The 23,391-nt window shown below is 38.9% G+C and overlaps 1 protein-coding gene across 4 annotated transcripts in view; it reads right to left on the reverse strand.

Annotated features, from left to right (window-relative positions):
* The window catches only part of GFPT1 (glutamine--fructose-6-phosphate transaminase 1), a 67,448-nt gene that overhangs the window by 11,903 nt on the left and 32,154 nt on the right, over positions 1 to 23,391 (reverse strand). For 2 of the 4 annotated variants that reach the window (NM_001244710.2, XM_017003801.2), the window contains exons 8-15: positions 22,807 to 22,886; positions 22,577 to 22,630; positions 18,396 to 18,501; positions 16,489 to 16,652; positions 14,222 to 14,317; positions 10,470 to 10,567; positions 6,763 to 6,883; positions 6,216 to 6,373 (exon numbers count right to left, since the gene is read on the reverse strand). In NM_001244710.2, coding sequence (NP_001231639.1) covers positions 6,216 to 6,373; positions 6,763 to 6,883; positions 10,470 to 10,567; positions 14,222 to 14,317; positions 16,489 to 16,652; positions 18,396 to 18,501; positions 22,577 to 22,630; positions 22,807 to 22,886 — 877 coding nt within the window. The remainder of the gene's footprint in view (positions 1 to 6,215; positions 6,374 to 6,762; positions 6,884 to 10,469; positions 10,568 to 14,221; positions 14,318 to 16,488; positions 16,653 to 18,395; positions 18,502 to 22,576; positions 22,631 to 22,806; positions 22,887 to 23,391) is intronic. The other 2 variants (NM_002056.4, XM_017003802.3) reach the window with 1 other exon arrangement.

A 23,391-nucleotide genomic window follows, 5' to 3' on the forward strand; every position in this document is an offset into this window, starting at 1 on the left:
CATGTGAAATGTTTTGAGACAGAGTAATATATTTCTGAATATAATTTTATGGTTTTTTTCACTTAGTAAGAACCTTTCTATGTGGAAAACTAAGAAAACTGCTTTCTGCTGTATAATCTGGCATTCATTGTAGATTAAAGTTTATTTTTCTGTGAATAAAACGTATTCAATACAATACTATTCTCTAAAATTAAAAAAAAGAAGGTAGTTATTGTTATGTCTCAAATATTTTTTCTCATCGTGGACTGACCTTTTATATTGGTGCTGACATAATTTTTTAACTTTTACGTAGTACTTTTAGACTCAGATAACTCTTCCACATCCTACATAAACTAAGTATTATTAAATTTTCTTACTTCTTTTGTTTTCACTGTTCCTTTTTATTTTTTTAACATTTTCCTTTTTAGCCTGTTTGAAATTAATTTTAGTGCAAGTTGAAGGAACACTAATTCTAACCCAAGATATGTCATTTCTTTACAAAACAATCTTTCCATTTAAAAATATGGCATTTTCATCAATTTGTGCTAGGAATTTAATGCTATTTCCCTCTATTTATCACTTTGGCCACACACTCTAAATTTTTACCCCTATTATTTATTGTTTACTTTTTTCTAGTCTTTCTTTTCTTTTCTTTTTTTTTTTTTTTTGAGACACAGTTTTGCTCTTGTTGCCCAGGCTGGATTGCAATGGCATGATCTTGGCTCACTGCAACCTCAGCCTCCTGGGTTCGCGTGATTCTCCTGCTTCAGCCACCCCAAGTAGCTGGGATTACAGGCGCCCGCCACCATGCCCGGCTAATTTTCTCGTGTTTTTTTAGTAGAGACGGGGTTTCACTATGTTGGCCAGGCTGGTCTTGAACTCCTGTCCTCAAGTGATCTGCCCAAAGTGCTGGGATTACAAGCATGAGCCACCACGCCCGGCCTCTAGTAAGTCTTTCTTAATGGTAGTTCTGATTTTTTTTAATCCAATAGTTATTTTGAAAAACATTTTTATGTTTCAGATATTTGAGGCTTTTATTTACATCTCTTTCAGTAGGTTATTGTGCTGTTGTCAGTTACAGTGTTAGATATAATTTTAGCTTTAGGAAATTTATGCTGAGGGGTGTGTGTGTGCGCGCGCGGATTATATGCTGAATTTCTATTACTCTTCTCTTGATAAGGGATTACTCCATTAGTGATTTCCTGGCATGATGTGGATGAGACTCCCTCTATAATAAAATCACAGTCTGGTAACTCCTTAACATCCCAATAGTTAAATGAGACTCCCTGTTTCCTCCTGCTGGACTTCCCAGCCTCCAGCTGCTCACATGGTCCTCCACAACTGCCTCCCTGTACACCTATTATATTCCACCAGCAGACTGGAATCTTTTCCCATAACACTAAAGTGAATTTGGAGTCCTCTGCCTCCGAGACTAATGAGCACATCTATATTCTAAATTCCAGACTCTTCCAGTCTACTTCTTCCTACTGTGGTTTACTTTTCAATTAATCAATTAATCACAAAACATACTACCAGGCCAGAGGTATCTTGGACCCCTGGAATACTTAAACTGTTTCCAATCCAAACTGATCAGATAATGAGTATTCCAGTTCCTGTAGCCCATAACTAAAAATGTTATTCTACAAACTAGTGTTTATTTGTTTGAACTGAAACCATCTGAACACTAGTTTTTAAGTACAAATATTAAACGGAGCAACTTTAATCCATGTTTTTCCATTGCATTGCTATTACAGTTTAATTTCTAATTTGAATTTCATATTTTTAATTTCATCAATACATACCAGGAAACCAATTATGAGGAAAAATAAGCTATACCCTACATTCAGAATCTACCGAGGTTTGAAAGAGTTTACCAGGAAAATGCTGACTCTGAAATTTTAAACTTGGTTTTTCTTTTTGTTCAGCCAAAAACAAAGTTACATTTTTATTTTTTTAAATCAACAAAAGTCAGCACTGTGGTGAAATTCTAAACACCTGCAATAACATATAAAAATTGCTGAACCTACCATTTATACCCATCAATTCCTCCAGTAGTATCAACTTGTCTATGGTCTGATACTATGAGAAACTCAGTAAGATCCCTCTAATCCTGACAGTTTTTCAGGCAAAGTTGAGAATTTACAGGCAAGATCACAGAATTCTTCTATGTGCTCCATCACTGGGCCCAGGGATTAGGATCAATAATCAACTTTTGGCTGGGCGCGGTGGCTTACGCCTGTAATCCCAGCACTTTGGGAGGCCAAGACGGGTGGATCACGTGGTCAGGAGTTCGAGACCAGACTGGCCAACAAGGTGACACCCAGTCTCTACTAAAAATACAAAAATTGGCCAGGCGTGGTGGCAGTTACCTGTAATCCCAGCTACTTGAGAGGCTGAGGCAGGAGAATCACTTGAAACCGGAGGGCGGAAGTTACAGTGAGCAGAGATCACACCACTGCACTCCAGCCTGGGCAACAAGAGCAAAACTCCATCTCAAAATAATAATAATAATAGTAATAATAATCGACTTCTTTCAATACCCATTAACATAAAAACTCTTATTTGCCACCTGGAATGGTCTGTGACTAAATAACCCAAAACTTATTGTAAGTAACTAAGCCCAAAATGTCTAAGACATTTGAATAAAATTACTTTAGAATCCAAGAAAAATGAAATACTAAATTGCCATACTTACTCAATTTTTTTAAGAGTTATTTTTGAAAAAAATTAAAGTCTGTACTAAAAAGATGCTAATTTTTCTTATATAGGTGGTAACCACTGGGGTAATGGGTAAAAAGTATGTAAGACTTCTCTGTACTATCTTTGCAACTTCCTATATAGTTATTTCAAAATAAAAATATTTAAAAAAAAGATTTGCAGAAAGAAAGAACTAATGATACAAATAACAACATGAACAAATCTCAAAAACTTCAGGCTAGGGTAGTCCAATAGTGGGTCACTAGAACTCATTAACATTAGCGTTACTAAAGTTGGTATACAATACCTCACTGCTAAATTTAACTGGCTTTATTTAAAAAACAAACTTCAGGCTAAATGAAAGAAGCTAGACACACAAGACGTGTTATACAATTCCATTTACAAAAATTTTCTGGAAAATGCCATAATACAGCAAGAGAAAACAGTAGTTCCTGAGTATGAGGCTGGAGGGTAGGAGTAAGGATTGACTACAAAGAAACACAAAGGAATATTTCAGGTGATCATCTTCTAAAACTGGATTGTGATAACAGTTGTACAGCCAAATGAATTTACTAAAACTGTACACTTAAAATTGGTGAATATGCTATGGTAGAAGCTAGATGGTGGGTATACCAATGCTAATGTAAAATTTTTATTTTTTTTTTTAAGACAGGGTCTCACTCTATCATCCAAGCTAGAGTGTAGTGGTGTGATCATGGCTCACTGCAGCCTCAAACTCTCAGGCTCAAGGGATCCTCGTGCCTCAGCCTCCTGAGTAGCTGGGACTACACGCACGCACCACCATGCCCCGCTAATTTTTGTATTTTTTATAGAGATAAGGTCTCACTCTGATGCCTCGGCTGGTCTTGAACTCTTAGCCTCAAGTGATCCTCCCAATTCAGCCTCCCAAAGTGCCAGGATAACAGTTGTGAGCCACTGCACCCAGCCTGTATGTAAAATTTTTAAAACTCTGCTGTATATTTGAAAATCATCATCATAAAATGTTGAGGCAAATTAAAGTTCTCATAAACAAAGGAATGAGAAATGTAAAATATATATTTCCCTTGGCAGCTCACAATTCCAGAAACATTTTATGAAAAGATTAAGTCAATGGCATCCATCCAAACAATCCCATATCCCACATACACCACGTTGTAGCCCTTGTTTCACAATCTGTTATAAATAAAGAGCCTCTGGGATTCCAATCCCCCAATCAAATCCTTAAGTGCTACTAAAGGTGGCTGGTCATTTATTCAGCCACAGGATGGAAACCCAAGCACAAACATGTAACACGTTTTAATTACCATATGGAGAAAATTCAAGTTTCAGCACTCTGTAAATTATAGTGTTAGCAATATCGAAATACCCAAGAAATAAAAATCTCACTCAAGAGTTTTTATGCCTGTAACCCCAGCACTTTGGGAGGCCAAAGCAGGCAGATCGTTTGAGCCCAAGAGTTCGAGACTGGCCTAGGCAACATGGTAAAACTCCGTCTCTACAAAAAAATACAAAAATTAGCCAGGCATGGGTAGTGGCCTGTACCTGTAGTCCCAGCTACTCAGGAGGCTAAGGTGGGAGGATCACCTGAGCCTGGGAAGGTCCAGGCTGCAGTAAGCCATGAGCACCACTGCACTCTATGTACTCTGGATGATAAAGAGGAGAGACCCTGTCTCCAAAAAAAAAAAAAAAGGTGGGGGGCCAGGTACAGTGTGGCTCATGCCTGTAATTCCAGCACTTTGGGAGGTTGAGGCAGGCAGATCACTTGAGGTCAGGAGTTCAAGACAAGCCTGGCCAACATGGTGAAACCCCATTGCTATCAAAAATACAAAAATTAGCCAGGCGTGGTGGCAGGTGCCTGTAATCCCAGCTACCTGGGAGGCTGAGGCAGGAGAATCGCTTGAACCCAGGAGGCGGGGGTTGCAGTGAGCTGAGATCACGCCACTGCACTCCAGCCTGGCCAACAGAGTGAGAGTCTGTCTCCAAAAAAAAAAAAAAAAAGAAAAAGAAAAAGAAAAGAAGAATTTTTATATAAGAATCACAAACTTTCTACAAAAAATTCTCTATGAGAATCTTTGAGGGAAAAGAATTCAAATGCAGTTATGTACACATTAACATTGTCTTTCACAATCCTTTAATTAAACTCAAATCCACCAATATCCCAACATCTTATTAGATAATCAGCAAGAAATATCAAACTTAAGTAGAAAAATATTGAGAAAACAAAAATGTGAAATCATAAAAAGTAACACATTGGACAACATAGTGAGACCCCATCTTAAAAAAAAAAAAAAAACTAGCCTGGTGCATCTGCAGTCCCAGCCACTCAGGAAGCTGAGGCAGAGATCACTTGAGCCCATGAGTCTGAGGCTGCAGGGAGCTATGATTCCTGTCACTGCACTCCAGCCCCAGCCTGGGTGACAAAACAAGACCCTGTCTCTAAATAACAACCAAACAAACCTAAAACCCCAAAAAAACACTTGTGGAGGGATAACATCTCTTGTATTTATACAACTTTCTAAGATTTCCTATTTTTATTAGCCACCTAAATTTATGCATATTCCAATTCCAAAGAGCAAAGTAGTCTTACCAGGCCTTCAAAACACAAGACAGTACCTTTAAACCTCCCCAGAGCAATATCTAAAGAGAAAGATATTGTCATACAATACTCATTAAAAAATTTTTTTTAATTGCCAAATTTTAAATTTTTTTTTTTTTTTTTTTTTTTAGATGGACTCTTGCTCTGTCACCCAGACTGGAGTGCAGTGGCACAATCTCGCTTCACTGCAACCTCCACCTCCCAGGTTCAAGTGATTCTCTTGCCTCAGCCTCCCGGGTATGCTGGGATTACAGGCACGTGCTACCACACCTGGCTAATTTTTGTATTTTTAGTAGAGACGGGATTCACCATGTTGGCCAGGCTGGTCTTGAACTCCTGAGCTCAAATGATCCGCCCGCCTCAGCCTCCCAAAGTGCTGGGATTACAGGCGTGAGCCACCATGCCTGGCAGTTGCCAAATTTTATACCAAAGGTGTATTCCTCCTTACAAACTTTCAGAGGTAGTATGTATATTTTTACATTATTTATTAGAAACCATAAATAGGTAAATAAAAATTCCAAAAATGGTTAAAGTGGATGTTTCTAATTTGTTACTTTTCAAATTCCAGACTATACTTCATAAAAGAAGGGGATGTTATATACTTGTTATGTATCCTACTGTGCCTAGCAGGAGGGCAGTAAGCGATAGACAAGGATAGCCAGCAGAGACCTTTTCAAAATGGACTTACATTATATACATAAGTCCCTTTTAAACTCTATCAGGAAGAGGGAGAGAATGACAAGTCTTTTATCTATCTGACCCTAAAGTCCTACAATAATTACAATGATTAGTAAAATGTGTGAGTTCTATAACTGCTAACAAAAATAAAATGTGTGAGTTCTATAACTGCTAACAAAAATAAGATACAGACTAGTCTACAGACTAGTCTGCTTCACTGACACTATGATTAAATAATCATCAGAGAAATGAGTCAAGAATTTACCTTTGTACTGGCCACACCAATCTCAGGACCAGCATTAATATGAACTCCACAATCTGTCTCCCGTGATATGGAACTGCCAACTGTGTTTGTGATCCCCACAGTTAAAGCTCCTCTCTCCTTACAGTAACGAAGACCCATCAAAGTATCTGCTGTCTCACCTGTGTAAAAAGTAGGCCAACCATAACACACAGAACAGTTTTAACATATGCTGTTTCTTAGGAGCAAAAACAAATTGACCACACTTTCAACAATATTACTTGTTTTAAATAAAATACAAAACATCCACTTAATAAATTTATAAAACTTTAAGTAATATGGCTTGTCAGGATCTCTCTTCCTTCTCTGTCATTGAAAATCCAGCTCTTTGAACACAAAAGGTGTTCATTTTTACTAATTCATAAAGAATTATGTAACATTAAAATAAATCTGTATTCGTCAAGTCATCTGCAATGCCAGTTTATCTTTAAATATCAGCTTTTGCCAAGATATGCTAGAATTATTAGAAAGAATAACTTTCCTTCCTTTTAAGTCTTTAAAATTAACACACCTGATTGACTAAGGAAAAAGCAAACATCATCTCGAAAGACTGGTGTGTTTCTGTCCAGGAAGTCACTTGCTAGTTCCACCATCACAGGCAACTCAGTCAGCTCCTCAAGAACTTGACGTGTCTGCAGAGAAAATATGACTTGGTCACAGAACTTTCCTTCAAATACTCTTTCATCGGACTTCTTTGGATTCAATGTATAGTTTTTGCTTTTTCTGATTACAAAAATGACACGTTAGAAAATAAAAACAACCCAGATTAAAATATTTAAAAAAAAAAAATCAAAATCCTACCACTTGAGATAAGCATGGCTAACATTTTACTATCAGTCTCTTTAGACAACTATCTATGTATACATTCCTTTTTTTTTTTTTTTTGAGACGGAGTCTCGCTCTGTCGCCAGGCTGGAGTGCAGTGGTGCCATCTCGGCTCACCGTAACCTCCGCCTCCCGGGTTCAAGCAATTCTCCTGCCTCAGCCTCCTGAGTAGCTGGGACTATAGGCGTGCGCCACCATGCCCAGCTTAGTAGAGATGGGGTTTCACCATGTTGGCCAGGATGGTCTCAATCTCCTGACCTCATGATCTGCTCGCCTCAGCCTCCCAAAGTGCTGGGATTACAGGCATGAGCCACTGCGCCTGGACACATACATTCTTATAAGGAAACATACCCACACATATAAAACGTTTTGAGAAGTGGAAAGAGCATGGTTCTGAGTCAGCTTGTGTGTTATCTCTAACCTCCCAATTCCTAATCTTTAAAATGAAAATTCATGTAATACCCATGTTAGGGAGGGGTTTCAAATCAGGTAACAGATGTACAAATATATAGAGAAAAATTAAACACTTTAAAAGTACAACGTATTCATAAATATGACCATTTCCCAAAAGAAGTCAATATATTTTAGAAATCTTGTTTAACAGGGCTCACTATTTTCAACTTTTGTGGCATGGGGCAGGGGGAATGAAGTAGGGAGCAGTATGCCTCTGTGCAAAACGTAGTTTAACCTTCATTTCAGTAAATTTCCATTCTAATTATTTTTACACTAAACATCGGAAAATCAAAAACAGAAAAATTATCTTTTAGGCAGCAAAAACTTTAAGCTCAACCAATGTATACATTTAGTGTTGCTTTAATTCTAACTGTGGAGCTCACCTAACCTGACAGCCTTTCACCAGCCTCTTCAGGCAAGTGGCCCTCCCCATCTCTCACCCATCTCAGCTTTCCTCCTTCTCAGCAATAAAGAACTTAAAGGTGCCCTTATTTCATAGCCCTTAACTTTTGCTTGCCCACAAATTTGAACAGAATCGTTTTACTTGGTTCCCCCAAAAATATTAAATAACTTTGATTTGGCATTTTTTAACAATATTACAACATCATGTAAAGAAAATCATTGAAGATAAAATGCTCCTATTTTTTATTATTCTTTTCCATTAATATATTTTATTATACATAATTAAGTTACCGACACTAAAATGCTAAATGTTTTCCCACAAATAAATGTAAACCAAACCTTTTCACCCAGTTTATAATATAAATGTTACATTGGAATCATATTCTTCAAAATAAAAAGATGGGGAAAGAAGAGAGAAAGATAGAAATCTGGAGGCTTACCAGATATTTAAAAGTAATAAACCCCAAAAAAGTAATCTCAAGATTTATCTGTGCTAATTAATAGTTTATTATTTTAGTTGGGGCAACTTTTTTTTTTTTTTTTTTTTTTTTGGTTAAAGATGGGGTCTTGGTTTGTTGCCCAGGCTGGAGTGTAGCAGCTATTCAGAGGCATGATTCTAGGGCACTGTGGCCTCAAATTCCTGGTCTCAAGTGATCCTCCTGCCCCAGCTTCCGAGGAGCTGGAACTATAGGCACACACCACTGCACCCAGCTGCGAACAACTTTTTATAAATACACAAAATGACATATTTCCATCACAATAGAGTAACTTAATGCTATAAATTCCACTGAATGCCACTACAAAACCTAGAGAAAATTAAAATTTTGAAAAGCATATTAAGTAGGCTATACTTAAATCATTTATGCCTAGTGTTCCATCACTGGAACGTTAAGCATGTGGGAGTTATTTATATCCTACTGCTCAAGGTCAGCACCAAGGTCTGATGATTTTTCACAAAAAAATTTTGCAACCTCTGGCATAAATGAGTTAAGAATGATTAGAGTGTAGTCAGTTATTCAGGATATAGATACTAAAAAAAAAACATGTAAATGTGTCATGAAACAACAACAAAAATGTAAAACAGGATAAAATAAATGGTACTATTTTGTCTGATAAACCACAGGGGGATTTCTAATGTTTGTTTACTACAGTAGTCTTGGCATCCACAAAACAACAAAAAATCTTACATTAGAGAATTCTAACAGAGTATATAATTTCTGCCCCCAAATTGTCTTAGCGTTAGATGAAGCGTTTAATCAAATTTTCTATTTCTGAATACAGGGCTCATTCAGTAATAGATCTAAGCCACCACTAACGTGTTTACATCTTTCTTCTTCCCGTGTTCAAAATTTTTTTTTTTTTTTGAGACAGGGCCTGGTTTTGTCGCCCAGGTTGGAGTTCAGCGGTGCAATCTAGGCTCACTGCAGCCTCACCTTCTGGACTCAAGCGATCCTCCTGCCTCAGCCTCCCAAGTAGCTAGGACTACAGGGAGTTGCCACCACACCCCGATAATTTTTTTTTTTTGGTAGAGACGGGGTCTCGCTATGTTGCCCAGGCTCAAACTCCTAGGGTCAACTGATCCTCCCACTTTGCCCTCCCAAAGTGCTGGGATTACAGGTGTGAGCCACAACACCCAGACAAAACAATCACTTTTTTAGACCTCTACCCTTCAACATTACATAGACTTTCTGTTTAGGACCATATAATTTTGGGGGAGGAGGGGAGGAGGTATTTGGTGTAGTCTTAGAAAAGAGCAAAGCTTGTTGAGATGCAAGGGCAGGTGACCAGATAGTTTCACTCACTGCTTAAATAAATGGCTCCTAATAAATATTTATGCCTCAGCAAATAAATAAGTTATGTCAGGAACTTTGGAAGTCAATCCTAAAAGCAGAAATTGAATGTAAAGGTCTTCTGTTCATAACAGTTGACATCAGCAACACATAAACTGTCTCTTTCTAAGGAAACTACGTGGGCAAATATTGGTCTTTTATTGGAATAAAAGACCCTCATACACCTATGCTTCTGCACTGACAATACACATTTTTGATACTGAATTTCAGCTTCTAAAAGAACAATTTAAAGAATAAAATCTGATTTAAAAAAAAAAGCAGACTACCTTTCTTTGCAGTAATGTGCCCACAAAGTAAAATTGCACTGAGGTTCACACATGATGCAGGCCATCTGTCTAGGGCAAGTGAACAATGCTAAGCAAAACCCAACGATGGCTCTTACACATGTAGGCAAGCTCCCTAGGCTACAAGTCTAGGACAGTACACAAACTCTCCCCCTCTTGGCCTTTCATGAAGTCCGTTGCAGGAGGTCTATCTGTATATCTAGGGACCTTTTCTACAGATCTTCCATGGATAAATAATTCCAAGCAGCTGGTAAATTTCTCCCCTTACCTTCTTTTTTTATCACAAAAGGGAAAAGATAACACATTAACAAAACATAGTTTTACACAGTATGTTATTAGACTACTACTTGGTCTACAGATATTCTCTAATATTCAACATAATTAAAATTTTAAAAAGCACTTACTGCTACACCAGCATGGTAACTTGTTCCACAAGCAATAAGAATCAAACGCCGGCATCTCTGGATCTCCTTTATGTGATCCTTCAAACCACCCAAATTCACTGAAATAAAAGTTTGTGTACATAATTATTTAGCAAAGAACCATGTGAACTAGGCAATCGCATTTTGTGAGTATCCACTGCCAATATGAGGAAGAATACTGCTGTTTTAAAGAATTAATATTCCTCTTGGAAAGCACAGTTCTCTGTAATTTTGAAAAGTAAATTAAATAAGTCACAACTTCACTGGCGCCCCCAAACTTGTAACTGACCTTACTCACCTCTCTACATCCCCACACAATTACAGTATTTATTACATTCTACCTTAGTTAGTTATTTTTACATTCTTCTCTTTGAAAGTTATCTTAAAGGCAAAAGTAGAGGGACACAGAAAACAGATCATTAGATGTAGAGGGCTGGAGCTGGAGGAGGGGTTGACAACAATAGGGTGCAAGGAAATTTTGGGAGTGATGGAACTGTTCTACATCTTGACTTTGTAGAGGTTATGATTATGACTATGTTGTAGAGGTTTGTCAAACTTAGAGTTATACACTAGGAATGGTGAATTTTATTATATCTAATTATGTCTCAATAAACCTGTCTGGGAAAAACATTATCTCAGTTACGTTTATTTCCCCTCTGGTGCCCAGAAAGGTGCTCTGTAGAGTAACATAAACCCACTCTCCTCTCAGTCTTTGCCGTCCCCATTCCCCTAATGCTTCAGTCAAAATGCTTGATTGTTCTGATCCCTCCACATTTATCTTCAAACCCAGCATCTCTCCCTGGACGACAGCAACATTCTCCAGTTCTCTCTTCTGTTCTCCACCTCCTGGAGTCTGCTCTCCATATGCTACCAGAAGGATCTCTTACAGTGATCCTTTAAAAACATAAAGACCCTCCAATGAAGTCTGTCCTCTTTTTCATTTTCAGTTTCTATAGCTATTTACATGTTGTTCTCCATGTGTCTTGTCCAGAAATCCTTCCACACAGGCTAGTTTTCTATCTGTGAGAAATTCTCATTCAACATTCATTCAACTGGTCAACTAAAATTCCCTAATCACCCACCAAGTAAATATAGTGGTCAAGGCACTGAGAGCTTCTGGACTCAAACAATTCCAAATCTGGCTGAGGAGAATGACAGGTACCTCCTCGTGGGCCTCATCCTGCTGCTCTCTCTGAACCATTTTCAGTCTGTCTACTCTGCCCCTGCTCTCTTCATCTCCTCACCTTTTTTTTTTTTTTGAGACAGAGTCTTGCTCTGTAGCCCAAGCTGGAGTGCAGTGGTGCAATCTCGGCTCACTGCAACCTCCACCTCCCAGGTTCAAGCGATTCTCCAGCCTTGGCCTCCTTAGTAGCTGGGATTACAGGCCGCGAGCCACCACGCCCAGCTAATTTTTTTCTATTTTTAGTAGAGAGGGTTTCACCATGTTGGCTAGGCTCGTCTCGGACTCCTGACCTCAAGTAATCCACCCACCTTGGCCTCCCAAAGTGCTGGGATTACAGGTGTCAGCCACCACGCCCAGCCAGTCCACCTTCTTTTTTATCTTAGTTAGTTATACTATAAAACCAAGGTATGTGTTTTACTTTTTATCTTTTGAATAATTATATGTTCTCCGTTTTGAATTTCAATAATGAAAGAAGGTATGTTTCTCTATTTTAAAAAATTAGCAAGTAGAAAACAAAACCAAACAAAATAAAAAGTGTCACTAGCTTCCCAAATAATTTATAATCAAATCCGAACTACTTACTTTGGCCTTCAAGTCCCATAAGACCTGTCTCCTGCTTACTCTGACCTAGCACATCCCTTCTCACTCAGGCCACACCAGCCAGACTGGCCTTCTTGCTGTTACTGCACTAGACCAAGCCTGTTTGTGTACCTCTGCCTACAGTGTTTTCCACAGACCTTGGCATTAATTACAAATGTTTGAGAAGAAAGGAAACAGCAGTAAAAGGCTGGATCAGGGTCATGCAAAGGCAAAGACTCAATATAAAAGCAAAGCAAAAAAAAAAAAAAAAAAAAAAAGGCAGACCAACTACCAGAAAGACCTGTATTGCAGATGATGACAAAGAATGACATGGATGTAAGACAGTGAGATTAGCTGGCCACGGTTGTTTCCTTAAAATTAGTCCTAGAAATTTCTGGTGGCTGAGGATAGTTGGGATAGTTCTGAAAGAAGCTGCCCAAAGCTCTAAATTTGATGCTTTTGAGAAAAGCCTGATCCCTTTTGAGATGAGGTAAGCCATCACTACAGGCAAAAGAAAGAATGCCTGATGGACAGGGGAGGGGATGGAGAGCACTTAGAACAATGAATACATGGGGAGTAGTTTGGTTCAATAAATGACTAACAATGTGACCTTTGACAAACTGAAAGCCTCAATCTCCTCATCCTAACAACAAAAAAGATGACAGCTATCCTGTTTTATTACAGAACTTTTATGTACATAATACAGATATAAGTACTCTTTTTTATTTTTTTTTTTTGAGACAGGTCTTTCAACCAGGCTGCAGTGCAGTGGTGGAGTCAGAGCTCACTGCAGCCTCGATCTACAGGGCTCAAGCAATCCTCCCACCTCAGGCTCTTCAGTAGCCAGGGCTACAGGCACCCACCACCACACCCAGCTAATTTTTTAAAAATTTTTAGTAAAAAGGAGGTCAGACTGGTCTAGAATTCCTGAGCTCAAGCGATCCTCCCGCTTTGGGTTCCCAAAGCGCTGGGATTACAGGCATGAGCCACTGCACCCAGCCAAAAGTACTTTTTAAAACCGTGAACTTCCCAAAGTTTGTCTCATTTTCTTCCCTTATAAAACAAATCTTTTTCCTGACCTCATTTCCATAAATACCATAAAAGAATTTACTGCTACTCTCCCAGTTCTTCCAGCTCAACCATCTTCAACAACCACCTCTGTCTACAGAGGCAGATACAATTCCTCTGGTGGTACATGCCTGTAATCCCAGCTACTTGGGAGGCTGAGGCAGGAGAATCACTTGAACCCGGGAGGCAGCAGTTGCGGTGAGCCGAGATGGCACCACTGCACCCCAGCCTGGGCAACAATAGCAAAACTCCATCCTAAAAAAAAGAGTAGTGTTGTACTCTCACCTCTACCTTAAAAATGCAGGAGGGTACAGGTTATCCAAAGGCATCAGGCAAATAACTGAAAGACCTCTGGGGAAGTTCACACTTTTACTTATTTATACACTCAGAAAGGAAACCTAGGCCAGGCAGATACACATAAGCTGCCCAGCAACGGGACCAGGTCTTATTCTTCTTAGAATTCACAGTACCTAGGACAGTCCCTGGTACACAGTGGGTGACCTACACATAAAATTTACCATTTTAACTATGTTTAAATGTACAATTCAGTGGCATTAAGCACATTCACATTATTGTGCAACCATCACTACAATCCATTTCTGTAATTTCATCATCCCACAACTGAAACTCTGTACCCTTTAAACAGTGACTCCCCATTTCCCCTCCCCACAGCCCTTGGTAACCATTAATCTACTTTCTCTTTCTGTGAATCTGACTATTCTAGATATCTTATATAGGTAGAATCACACACTAAAGAACTTTTTCCAAGATGGCTGGGCTCCACTGATGGCTGGCAGCTGTAGTTGTTCTACAAGGCTATTAAGGGCAATGAACTTTCAGGTTGTTAATGGCACCTCCTACTGTCAGAGACACTGAAATAATAAAATAATTCATATGTAATTACCAGTATAGTCATCAAAGTTGACTCTTCCTCTCATTGTGTTCACGACAGACTCTGGCTGCTCAAATATTTCCTTCTGCATAAATGAACTGAAGTTGCCTATAGTAATAGAAATCACATAATTAAAACAAAAACAAATCAAATAAAAGAATTTGTACACAACTAAAAGTTTCCTTTAATATAATCTTGGTAAATAAAATATAACAAAAGTTCATGCAATAGACATGACTGCCTAAAAGATTGGGTGAACATATTTTACTCTGTGGAAAAAAATAACAGTAAAAGTCACTTTTAATTAACTTCATACTTGAAATGTGCAGTTACAACAAGTGAATGAGACAAGCTTTTTTTTTTTTGAGACGGAGTCTTGCTCTGTCACCCAGGCTGGAGTGGAGTGGCATGATGTAGGCTCACTGCAATCTTGGCCTCCTGGATTCAAGGGATTCCCCTGCCTCAGCCTCCTGAGTAGCTGTGACTACAGGCGTGTGCTACCACGCCCGGCTAATTTTTTGTATTTTTAGTAGAGACAAGGTTTCACCATACTGACCAGGCTGGTCTCGAACTCCTGACCTCATGATCCAACCACCTCGGCCTCCCAAAGTGCTGGGATTACAGGCGTGAGCCACCGCACTCAGTCAACTGGGACAAGCTTTAAGTTTTGGAGTGCAACCCACCCAAACTGTAGTTCTATCCTTTACTATCTAAACTGGGGAAATTATTAATCTATAAAATAAGAGACCAATTACTTCACAGTATGGATTGTAGTATGGATTAATAAAGCAAAAAATCTGACATATATATATATAGAGTTATGCAATAAATGTTATTTCTTATTTTTACTTTTTTTTTTGAGACAGGGTCTTTGTCACCCAGACTGAAGTGATCACCGCAAGATCACCGCTCACTGCAGCCTCAATCTCCTGGGCTCAAGCAATTCTCACACCTCAGCCACCTGAGTAGCTGAGACTACAGGCACACACTACCATGCCCGGCTCATAGTTTTGTTTTGTTTTGTTTTGTTTTGTTTGAGACAGAGTCTCACTCTGTCGCCCAGGCTGGAGTGCAGCGGCACGATCTCACCTCACTGCAACCTCTGCCTCCTGGGTTCAAGTGATTCTCCCACCTCAGCCTCCCCAGTCACTGAGACTACAGGTACATGCCACCATGCCCATAATTTTCTTTGTATTTTTAGTAGAAACAGGGTTTTGCTATGTTGCTGAGGCTGGTCTTGAACTCCTGAGCTCTGGCAATCTGCCTGCTTCAGCCTCCCAAAGTGCTAGGATTACAGGTGTGAGCCAGTGCACCTGGACTTTTTTTTTTTTTAGTTTGTAGTAGAGATAAGGTCTCACTATGTTGCCCAGGCTGGTCTCAAACTCCTGAGCTCAAGTGATCCTCCTACCTTGGCCTCCCTAAGTGTTGAGATTACAGGCATGAGCCACCGTGCCTGGCCAATGTTAGTTTTTATTCCTACCACAATCCCATCAGAAAGGAATAAAATAATCCAAATCATAATAATTATAATAGTTAACAGAAGCAAATATTACATACGACTAAGTGTGTCAGACACTGTTTTAAGCTTCTTTTTTTTTTTTTTGAGACAGAGTTTTGCTCTTGTTGCCAAGGCTGGAGTGCAATGGCGCAATCTCGGCTCACTGAAACCTCTGCCTCCCGGGTTCAAGCCATTCTCCTGCCTCAGCCTCCCGAGTAGCTGGGATTACAGGCATGCGCCACCACACCCAGCTAATTTTGTATTTTTTAGTACAGTCGGGGTTTCTCCACGTTGGCAAGGCCAGACTGGTCTCAAACTCCCCACCTTAGGTGATCTGCCCACCTCGGCCTCCCAAAGTGCTAAGATTACAGGTGTGAGCCACCGCACCCAGCCATATAGTAGCTTCTTAATCCTCAAAACAACCTTAATGAGGCAGGCTATATTATCCTCATGTTATATATAAGAAAACTAAAGCACAAAGAGAATAAAAAGGAACAGAACATTAACTATTTTTATGTTTATAAAGTATCTTTAAAGTATCAAGTGTTAATAACCTTTTTATAATGTTACAAATAACAAATCATTAATTAGTTTGAAGACGATTGTAAAAACAGCAGATAATTTCTCTAAAGAATCATCCCTTTTCCTAGCGTTGTCCCTTCACTAATCATGTGGAAGATTCCACTCATCATTCATTACTAGATTTAATATGCTAGGAAAGGAAGTAGAATATATTCTTTCCAGTAAGGACAGCAAGCTATAACATGACAAAAACTTTCACCCTTCATGATCTGCTGGAGTTCCATCTGGAGTGTTTGCACAGCTCGTCCGGGGTGATCTCCTGCAGTTCGTTTAATTCGATGGATAGAAAGACGTCCATCCACTACTGCTGCAACATCATCATCTTCCAGAAAGATGACGCGATTGGTGTGTTCTATGACAGCACTATAAAGTTTTCAAGGAGATATTACAATCGATAACCAAGGATCATTATTACAAATGAAACTATCATTTGGATACAAGAACCAAATTTCAATATAAACTCTATCACTCTGCAGTATCTCAGAGAATTTTCTGGTTACTAATGCCAACCCCTACAGGAAAGTATGGGGAAGGTGGTCATTGTGGACAAAAAATAAAAGGAACTCTGCATAGCAATCTAAACCAAACAGATTAGATCAGAAAGCATGGTTGTTTCCTCCTCATTCTATCCATTACCAAGTCCTGAAATTTTAACTTCCAAATATTCTTAGTTTCTATGTCCACCACCAGACAAATTCAAGCTCCCATCAGCTCCTCGGGTGGACTACTGCAGCGATCTCCCAATTAGTCCACCCACTTTCTCTCTGATCTCTCTCCGTCCATCCTCCATTTCTGCCAAAATTGATATCAAAAGGCAACAACTCTAATAAAGATTTCTCCTTCACTCAACAAACCATTTGACAGTTTCCCTTTGGCTCTCAGAGAGACAACAAAGTGCCTTACCGTAATCCCTATACCTCCTTCTCCAGCTTCATCTCCCCCCAAGCTTCCTCTCACTCTCTCTATTCTGGCCACACTCAAAGCCATCCTAAACTCTCACAGGCTGAGCCATTTGCAAAGAATGAATGTTCCTCCCTCTACCTGTTAACCTAATTAACTCCTAATCTCTCCTTAACTCTCAGTTCAAACATCATTCCCTTAAAGAAATTTACCCACCAAGGGTAAATCACTCTGTTACTAGCATTCTGCAGCTCTTGTCACAGCTGGAATTCTACACTTCTGTGATCATTGTTTAAAATTTGCCTCCTCACTATGGAAGAGCTCCTAAGGAAAAGTAATATTTTTATTTTTACTCACCATTATCTCCTGACGCTAGCATATGACTTCACCCAGTGTTCAATATGAATGTATAAATGAATGAGAAAAGGCTGATATGTTTCTGTAATTCCAGTGTATTTAAGCCATAACTGTCAACTGTGTAATCTTACACATCTTAGCCCTGACTACACACCTTACACACCTGTAAAAACATTAAAGAGTAAAGCTTGTTTTCCCACTGAGATAATATATTCCCTGATGTCCTAAATGGCATTATTTTCTTATTTTTATTATTTTCTCTTATTTTCAGGTACAGTGGATGACTCAAATACTTGTTTGCAATTTCGGTGATTTTATTTTATCCTCATTACTATTTCATTTACAAATGCATGTAAACATCCCCCTGCATTTTCTCTCAAAATATCTTAGTCTACTACTATCCCTTTATAAAAATGATTATGCTGCAAATTAATTCTAAATGTAAAAGATGAGTATCTACATTAGACTAAAACTACAATAGTTTAGCAACTATGCTATAACTATTGGGATACTAACTAAGCCATTTTACTCTTCAATCTAGAATCTCCTCCCTTCAAAACCTGGATAAGGCTCCTGAAATAAGAAGGAAAAAAATGTAAGAGCTCTAAAATAAATACACTGGAACAAGTCTCAAGCAGTATATGTGTTCTTAGTAAACTGACCCACATACTTTGAAATGACAGAAAAAGTGTCCTTACAGCCCCATCTCCAAAATGGTCACCTGTATTTCTTTAATTTAAAAAGTTATCTCACAGAGCACAACTAGACTGATACACAATGACTTCTTGGGTTTCCTGCAGAATGAGAAGTTTTACTAAAAATCTCTTTGAATCAACTAAGGAAGCTCACCTTGCATCAGAAGCAAAGTAATACTCCACTGCTTTTTCTTCCACCGGGAAAAGGCAGGTTGTGCTGTCCACACGAGAGAGATTGCAGCTTCCTTTCTTGTCTTTGCCTAAAGCATATAGTTAACATGAATTGGCAAACATGTAGAAAATCATGTCCAATGTAGAAATATGCATAATATTCTATAAAATCAAGAAAAAATCATAGCAACACAAAACAATTTTAGCAAATTTAAAAAGCCAAGTAGATCACCTTATTTCCATGCAATAAGCCAATAAGAACAGACAAAAAGTGTACAGTGAAGTAGCAACTATCAAAGAGTGCGTGGCAGGTAAAAGTGCTACATTATATGTTTTTTTAATATAATATTTATTTTCCAGGTAAAAGACAAGTAATTCCTTAATATTAACCGGTTTTTTAAATCAAAAGTATGTATAAATTAATTTTAACTTTATACAAAACAATGATCTTAACACATAAAAGTTTGTGTACCTATAATTATAACAAAATTACATTTAAAATATCAAAATTGTGCAACGAAAAATAAAATGAACACAGGGGCTCACGCCTGTAATCCTAGCACTTTGGAAGGCCGAGGCAGGTGAATCACTTGAGGTCAGGAGTTCAAGACCAGCCTGGTCAACATGGCGAAACCCCATCTCTACTGAAAATACAAAAATTGGCCAGACGTGGTGGCAGACGCCTATAATCCCAGCTACTTGGGAGGCTTAGGCAGGAGAATCACTTGAACCCAGGAAGTGGAGGCTGCAGTGAGCCGAAATCACACGCCATTGTACTCCAGCCTGGGCAACAGAGCAAAAACTCTGTCTCAAAAAAAAAAAAAAAAGAAAAAGAAAATGAAGGCTAGTGGCAAATTAATTTTTATTGTATCATAACAAAACCTCACTAGATTTTAGCAGCAAGTCAGCATAACAAATCAAGTTGTAGTCTACACTAATTCTGATTTGAAAACAAAACAGATGCATATCACTCTCTAATCACGGTATATCATATGTGGCACCCACTGTTAGAGACAAAATTTATAAACCAAGAAACTCTCCTTTCTTCAACTTGGGTTTTCTTACTCTTCCTTTAAGTCAGGATAAAGTAGGGTCTTTTTGCAAAGCTAATATCCTTTTAATTCTTGTATTTCAGAATTATGACACCTCTACTTAATTTGTCAAGACATTAATATTAACTTTTTCATCAAAACTGGAATGCTAAGGTTTTATAAATTGGCCTTATATAGGAAAAAAATCTATTAGTTGAAGACTACATAAATGTCCTAGAGACAAAAATGCACCTTTCTTCAAGGCCAGGACATAACAGAACTTAGAACTATGGACACAATAGCCAGAGAACATCACAAGTATACTTATAAAAACTGCTATTTCATCTATCCTCTTAAAATGCACATATAAAGGCAGACTTGATAATTATCAGAAATGTGCATTCAAATGTGCTATTTATCCTGAGCTGATCATTATACATTGTACACATGTATTGAAATATACACCACATAAACATATAATTATATATCTATTAAAAATAAAAGCCAAAAAAAGTATATTCGAAGTTTTCCACCATCTGTGATTATTTGATGTTTTAGTGATGAAAACAAAGTAACTTTTCCCATTCATATTTAACAGCAAAGATGCCAAACTGAAAAATAAATGTAAGATGACATCCAAGAAAAAGTAACATTATAGAAAAATAACATATTAGTGTTTGCCAGGGGCTGGGAATGAGACAAGGGTTGATGACAGAGGGCAGGTTGAGGGACCTTATTGAGTGATGAAATTGTTCTGTATCTTGATTATGGTGGTACTTATGCAATTTCGCATCTGACAAAATTGGTGAAACTACATGAAAAAGAGTAAATATTACTGTATGTTAAAAAACAGAGACCAGGCACAGTGGCTCATGCTTTTAATCCCAGCACTTTGGGAGGCCGAGGTGGGCAGATCACTTGAGGTCAGGAGTTCAAGACCAGCCTGGCCAACATGGTGAAACCTCGTCTCTACTAAAAACACAAAAAATTAGCTGAGAGTGGTAGAGTACACCTGTAGTCTCAGCTATTCCGGAGGCTGAGGTGGGAGAATCGCTTGAACCTGGGAGGTGGAGGTTGCAGTGAGGTGAGATTGTGCCATTGCACTCCAGCCTGGGTGACAGAGCATGACTTTGTCTCAAAAACAAAACAAAAAAGTGAATTTAAAAACACATAAAAAGAGAGCTCAGCATTTTAAAAAAATAAATGCAACCAGGTGTGGTGGCTCAGGCCTGTAATCCCAGCACTTTGGGAGGCCGAGGTGGGCGGATCATGAGGTCAGGAGTTTGAGACCAGCCTGAGCAACAGCCTGAAACCCCGTCTCTACTAAAAATAGAAAAATTTGCTGGGTGTGGTGGCACGTGCCTGTAATCCCAGCTACTCAGGAGGCTGAGGCAAGACACTCGCTTGAACCCGGGAGGCCGAGGTTGCAGTGAGCCGAGATCACGCCACTGCACTACAGCCTGAGCAACAGAGCGAGACTTCGTCTCAAAAAAAAAAAAAAAAAAAAAAAAACAACTACTTTTGCTTATAAAATGTCCTAATAGGCTTGAGTTTCACTGTGTTTTTTCTCCAAATATTGATAATTTCATTCTTCAAATAACAAAGTATATTTAGTTAAAATATGTAAAAAAAATTTGAGGCTGGGTGCAGCGGCTCACACCTGTAATCCCAGCACTTTGGGAGGCCGAGGTGGGCGGATCACCTGAGGTCAGGAGTTCGAGATTAGCCCGGCCAAAATGGCGAAACCCCGTCTCTACTAAAAATACAAAAGTTAGCCGGGTGTGGTGGTGTGCACTGGTAGTCCCAGCTACTCTGGAGGCTGAGGCATGAGACTCGCTTGAACCCGGGAGGCAGAGGTTGCAGTGAGCCAAGATCATGTCACTGCACTCCAGCCTGGGCAACAGAACAAGACTGTTTCAAAAAATAAATAAATAAGGTAAAAAAAATTTGAGATATCAATGTCTGTTTAAATGAAAAGAACACTTCTGGGCTGGGCACAGTGGCTCACACCTGTGATCTCAGCACTTTGGGAGGCTGAGGCAGGTGGATCACTTGACTCCAGGAGTTCAAGAACAGCCTGGGCAATATAGCAAGACTCCATTTGTACAAAAAATTTAAAGTTAGCTGGGAGCCAGGCACAGTGGCTCATTCCTGTAATCCCTGTAATTTAGGAGGTTGAGGTGGGAGGATCCCTTAAGCCCAAGAGTTTGAGACCAGCCTGGCCAACATAGCAAGACTTCCTTTTTACAAATAAAAAAATTGGCTGGGGGTGGTGGCACATGCCTGTGGTCCCAGCTACTCAAGAGGCTGAGGTGGGAGAATCACTTGAGCCTAGGCAGCCAAGGCTGAAGTGAGCCATGACGAAACCACTGCACTCCAGCCTGGCTGAGAGAGCAAAACCCTGGCTAAAAATAAGAATTAGCTGGGTATGATGGCACACGCTTGTAGTACTAGCTATTTGAGAGGCTGAGGCAAGAGGATCCACCTGAGCCCAAGAGTTCGAAATTGCAGTGAGGTATGACCATACCACTGCACTGCACTCCAGCCTGGGCAACAGAGCAAGACCCTGTCTCCCCCTGCCGCTCTATAAAAAAGTTACATCGAAGTAAATAAATAAGAAAAACAAAAAATAAACTTTACACATAAACAATATAAAAGAACAATCACTACAAATTCAAATAAAGCCAATCAAGATAGCAAATGTAAATCCAACAATATGTCATGTATAAAAAATAAAGACCACTTAAACATATTTCAGTTAAAAGTTAGCCTAAATGATTCAAATAACTACCACTTAGTCAATCTATAATAACCTAGCACACAATGCTCTTTTCCTAATCTAAGCATACATCCTACATGATTTTAAAACAAAGGAAAAAATAATTTACAATTTCAACTATTTTCTCAAATTTCAGAAATTTTAATGAAATTATTAAAAGCACTTTCTAAATGCCAAAAGCAGACACGCAAAATATACTCCGCAAATTAGAAAAATGTCAAAATATGCTTCCCCACAAAATAAGCACATTTTTAGAGGCCCAGCACATTCATTCACTCCAAGAACAAAAGAATTAGTAAAGAATAAACAAAAGAGGATAAGATCCTCCCCATCCATGCAGAGTGCATTTCCCACCTCTTTCTCCCTGTGATCCCCACCGTGTGAATTTTGATCCAATCTGAGTCCTAGCTAAGGATACACAACAGAAAAAAATTCTAATCATCAGAGAACTCACAAAAACAAATCTTTTTCATGTCTAGACAGAACTATATATACATGTGCATCTGACCAAAGAGCCATCTATTCCAACTTAAGGAAAATAATTCTTCATATCTACTGCACTGCATTTGTAGAGGTAATTTTACCTGTTCTGTAGAGTATAGGAATGTGATCAGTAGAAAGTTTATGTTCACTCCGTACACCAATCAACAGAGGGCTACCTCGCCTGTAAATTGCAAAAGCAGTTAGAATTAAACCATTTTTATAAATAATGGACTAATGACATAAAATTTAATGGGCCAATACTCTTCAAATGTTTAAATCATCCTCCCCAAGCTCAACTTCAGATATAAGAACTAGATAAAAAGAATTTTTTAAAAAAATCAGTATTGGGCCAGGTGCAATGGCTCACACCCGTAATCCCAGCACTTCAGGAGGCCTAGGCAGGCAGATCACTTGAGCCCACGAGTTCAAGACCACTCTGGGAAACATGGCAAAACCCCGTCTCCTAATTAGCCAGGTGTGATGGCACGTGCCTACAGTCTCAGCTACTCGGAAGGCTGAGTTAGGAGGATTGCCTGAGTCTGGGAGGTGAAGGTTGGAGTGAGCCAAGATCGCGCCACTGCACTCCAGCCTGGATGACAGAACAAGATCCTATATCCAAAATATTCTCTATCAGGGGTCAGCAAACTGACCTGCAGCCCCAGGGTTTATTTTTATAAATAAACGGT

This window comes from Homo sapiens, chromosome 2 (assembly GCF_000001405.40).
Source record: "Homo sapiens chromosome 2, GRCh38.p14 Primary Assembly".
In the NCBI taxonomy this organism is placed as follows: domain Eukaryota; kingdom Metazoa; phylum Chordata; class Mammalia; order Primates; family Hominidae; genus Homo; species Homo sapiens.